The sequence below is a fragment of the Homo sapiens genome, chromosome 4 (assembly GCF_000001405.40).
Source record: "Homo sapiens chromosome 4, GRCh38.p14 Primary Assembly".
Taxonomy (NCBI): domain Eukaryota; kingdom Metazoa; phylum Chordata; class Mammalia; order Primates; family Hominidae; genus Homo; species Homo sapiens.
In genome coordinates this window covers 164,456,127-164,460,653 of record NC_000004.12, presented here as the reverse complement: position 1 = coordinate 164,460,653, position 4,527 = coordinate 164,456,127, and the positions used below count along the sequence as shown (strand labels likewise).

Sequence of the window (4,527 nt, the reverse complement as noted above, 5' to 3'; positions counted from 1 at the left end):
GAGACTTATTCACTATCATGAGAACAGCATGAGAAAGACCTGTCTTTATGATTCAGTTACCTCCCACTGGGTCCCTCTCATGGCACGTGGGAATTGCAGGAGCTACAATTCAAGATGAGATTTGGGTGGGGACACAGCCAAACCATATAGTTCTGCCCCTGGCCCCTCCCAAATCTCATGTCCTCACATTTCAAAACCAATCATACCTTCCTAACATTCCCCCGAAGTCTTCACTCATTTCAGAATTAACTCAAAAGTCCACAGTCCAAAATTCCATCTGACACATGGCAAATCCCTTCTGCCTATGAGCCTGTAAATTTGAAAGCAAGTTAGTTCCTAGATACCATCAGGGTACAAACATTGGGTAAATACAGCTATTCCAAATGAAAGAAATTGGCCAAAATGTAGGGACTACAGGCCTCATGCAAGTCCAAAGTCCAGTGGGGCAGTCAAATCTTAAAGCTCTAAACTGATCTCCTTTGACTCCATATCTCACATCCAGGTTGCACTGATGCAAAAGGTAGGCTACCATGGCCTTGGGCAGCTCCACCCATGTAGATTTGAAGGGTATAGCCCTGCTCCTGGCTGCCTTTGCAGGCTGTCATTGAGTGTCTGTGGCTCTTCCAGGTGCATTTCCAGATTCTGAAATCTGAAAAAGTCCAAAATCCAAAACACGTCTCTTCCCAAGCATTTTGTATACAGAATACTCAACCTATAGTCCAAAATTGGAAGCAGCCCAATAGTGCAAGCTGTTGGTAGATCTATCATTCTGTGGTCTAGAGGACAGTGGCTCTCTTATCACAGGTCTACTAGGCGTTGCCCCAGTAGGGACTCTGTGTAAGGGCTCTGATCCCACATTTCCCTTCTGCGCTCTTCTAGAAGAGGTTCTCCATGAGGGTCCTGCCCCTGCAGCAAACTTCTGCCTGGGTATCCAGGCATTTCCATACACACTCTGAAATCTACACAGAGATTCCCAAACCTCAATTCTTGACTTCTCTGCACTTGCCGGCCCAAAACCATGTGGAAGCTGCCAAGGCTTGGGGCTTGCACCCTAAGAAGCCACCACCTGAATTGTTGCTTGGCCCATTTTAGCCATGGCTGGAGCAGCTGGCATACAGGGCACCAAGTTTCTAGGCTGCCAGAGCAGAGAAGCCCTGGGCCCAGCCCACAGAACCACTTTTTTCTCCTAGGCCTCTGGACCTGTGATGGGAGGCGCTGCTGCAAGGTCTCTGACATGTCCTGGAGACATTTTTCCCATTGTCTTGGTGATTAACATTTGGTTCCTTGTTACTTATGCAAATTTCTGCTCAGAAAATTAGTTTCTCCTCAGAAAATGAGTTTTTATCTTCTATTGCATTGTCAGGCTGCAAATTTTCTGAACTTTTATGCTGTTTCCCCTTTAAAACTGAATGCTTTTAACAGCATCCAAGTCATATCTTGAATGCTTTGCTGCTTAGAAATTTCTTCTGCAGATATCCTAAATTATCTTTCTCAAGTTCAAAGTTTCACAAGTCTCTAGGGCAGGGGCAAAATGCCACCAGTTTCTTTGCTAAAACATAGCAAGAGCCACCTTTACTCCAGTTCCCAACAAGTTCCTTATCTCCATCTGAGACCACTTCAGCCTGGACTTCATTGTCCACATGATTAGCAGCATTTTGGTCAAAGCCATTCAACAAGTCAGCCTGGACTTCATTGACCACATGATTATCAGCATTTTGGTCAAAGCCATTCAACAAGTCATCCTGGACTTCACTGACCACATGATTATCAGCATTTTGGTCAAAGCCATTCAACAAGTCATCCTGGACTTCACTGACCACATGATTATCAGCATTTTGGTCAAAGCCATTCAACAAGTCTCTAGGAAGTTCCAAACATTCCCACATGAGCCCTCCAAACTGTTCCAAACTCTGCCTCTTACCCAGTTCCAAAGTTGCTTCCGTATTTTCAAGTATTTTTACAGAAGTGCCCCACTCTACTGGTAGCAATTTACTGTATTAGTCTATTTTCATGCTGCTAATAAATACACACCCAAGACTGGGTGATTTATAAAGAAAAAGAGGTTTAATGGACTCACAGTTCCATGTGGCTGGGGAGGCCACACAATCATGGTGAAAGGCAAGGAGGAGCAACTCACATTTTACATGGTAGCAGGGAAGAGAGAGCTTGTGCAAGGAAACTCCTCTTTACGAAACCATGAGATCGCATGAGACTTACTCACTCTCACGAGAACAGCATGGGAAAGACTTGCCCCCATGATTCAATTACCTCCTACTGGGTCCCTTCCATGACATCTGAGAATTGTGGGAGCTACAATACAAGATAATATTTGGGTGGGGACACAGCCAAACCATATCAGCTTTACATTACCATACTTTTTAAAAATTTTATTTTTAATTGACACATAATACTTACACATATTCGTGTGGTACAAAGCGTTATTTCAATAGATGCGTACAATCTGTAATGACTAAATCAGGGTAATTATCACATCCATCACCTCAAACGTTGAGCATTTCTTCGTGTTGGGAACACTCAAAATCCTCTCTTCTAGCTATTTGAAAATATACAATAAATTATTGTTAACCATAACCACCCCACAGTGCTATAGAATGCCAGGACTTATTCCTCCCATCTAGCTATGATTTTGTATCTGTTAAGCAAGCCCTTTCTATCCCCCTTCCTGCCACTCTTCCCAGCCTCTAGTAACCACCATTCTATTATATTGTATGAGCTCAAATTTTATAGCATCAATGTGTGAGATGTAGTACTTATCTTTCTGTGCCTGACTTATTCCACTCCACATAATATCCCATGTTGTTGTAAATGATAGGATTTCATTATTTTTGTGGTAGAATATTATTTCATTCTGTACATATACCACATTTTCTTTATTCATTCATTTGTGAATGGACACTTGGGTTAATTCCATATCTTGGCTATTGTGAATAGGGCTGCAGTAAACATAAGGGTACAGATATCTCTTTGATATACTGATTTCCTTTCCTTTGGATAAATATCCAGAAGTAGTATTGCTAGATTATATAATAGTTATAATTTTAGTTTTTTGAGAACTTTTCATAATGGCTATACTAATTTACATTACTGTCAACATTGTATAAGAGTGTCTTTTTCTCTGCATCATTACCAGAATTTGTTATTTTTATATTTTTGATAATAGCTATTCTGAAGTGAGATGCTATCTTATTGTGGTTTTGATTTGTATTTCTCTGATGATTAGTGATGTCAAGCATTTTTCCATATACGTGTTGGCCATTTGTATGTCTTCTTTTGAGAAATGTCTGTTCAGCTAATTTGTCAATTTTTAATCCAATTATTATTATTATTATTTTTACTGTTGCATTGTTCGAGTTCCTTGTATATACTGGATATTAATCCCTTGTCAGATGAATAGTTTGCAGTTATTTCCTCCCCTTTTTTTCAGTTATCTCTTCACTCACTTGATTGTCTACTTTGCTGTGCAGAAGCTTTTTCACTTAATATAATCTCATTTGTCTATTTTGTTTCTGTTTCTTGTGTTTTTGGAGTCCTATCCATAAAATATTTGCCCAGATCAATATTTTGAAGCATTTTTCTTGTGTTTTCTTTTACTAGTTTTTTAAGACTTTCATTCATTTGGTATTGATTTTTGTATATGGTGAGAGATAAAGATCTAGTTTTAGTTTTTCTGCACATTGATATCAAGTTTTCCCAGCACCATCCTTTCTCCAATGTATGTTCATGGTGTCTTTGTCAAGATTCAGTTGGTTGTAAATATGTGGACTTATTTCTGGGTTCTGCATTCTGTTTCATTGGTCTACATGTCTGTTTTTAATACCAGTAACATGCTGTTTTGGTTACTATAGCTTTGTAGTGTAATCTCAGGTAGTGTGATGCTCCCAGCTTTGTTCCTTTGTATCAGGATCGCTTTGGGTATTCAGGGTCCTTTTTGGTTCCATATGAAGCCAAGATTTTTTTTTTTTTCTATTTCTGTGAAGAATGTCATTGATATTTTGATTGGAATTACATTGAATCTTCAGATGGCTTTGGGTAGTATCATCATTTTCACAATATTAATTTTTCTCAGCTATGAACATGGGATGTCTTTTCATTTTTTTCTTTTCTCTTCAATTTCTTCATTAATGATTTATAGTTTTCCTTGTGAAGACCTTTCACCTTTTTGCTTAATTCCTGGATATTTTAATTTTTTATAACTATTGTAAATGAATCAGTTTCATAATTTCTTTTTCAGTTAGCTTGTTACTAGTGTCTAGAAATGCTACTCATTTTTGTATGTTTGTTTTGTATTCCATAACTTCATTGAATTCATTCATTAGCTCTGAAGTTTTTTTGGTAGAGTCTTTAGGTTTTTCTAAATGTAAGCTATGTCATTTGCAACAGAGATAATTTGACTTCTTTTCAAATTTTGAGGCCATTTATTTCTATTGCTTAGCCTAATTGCTCTGGCTAGGATTCCAGTATTATGTTGAATAAAAGTGGCAAAAGTGGGTATCCTTCTCTTGTATG

General features: G+C 38.5%; 1 annotated feature.

Annotated features, from left to right (window-relative positions):
• Positions 730 to 930: a silencer, noted in NCBI's record as "peak5144 fragment used in MPRA reporter construct". NCBI's record gives its function as "represses an SCP1 promoter by STARR-seq MPRAs in K562 erythroleukemia cells {active_cell/tissue: K562}" and the evidence as "EXISTENCE:reporter gene assay evidence [ECO:0000049][PMID:32103011]".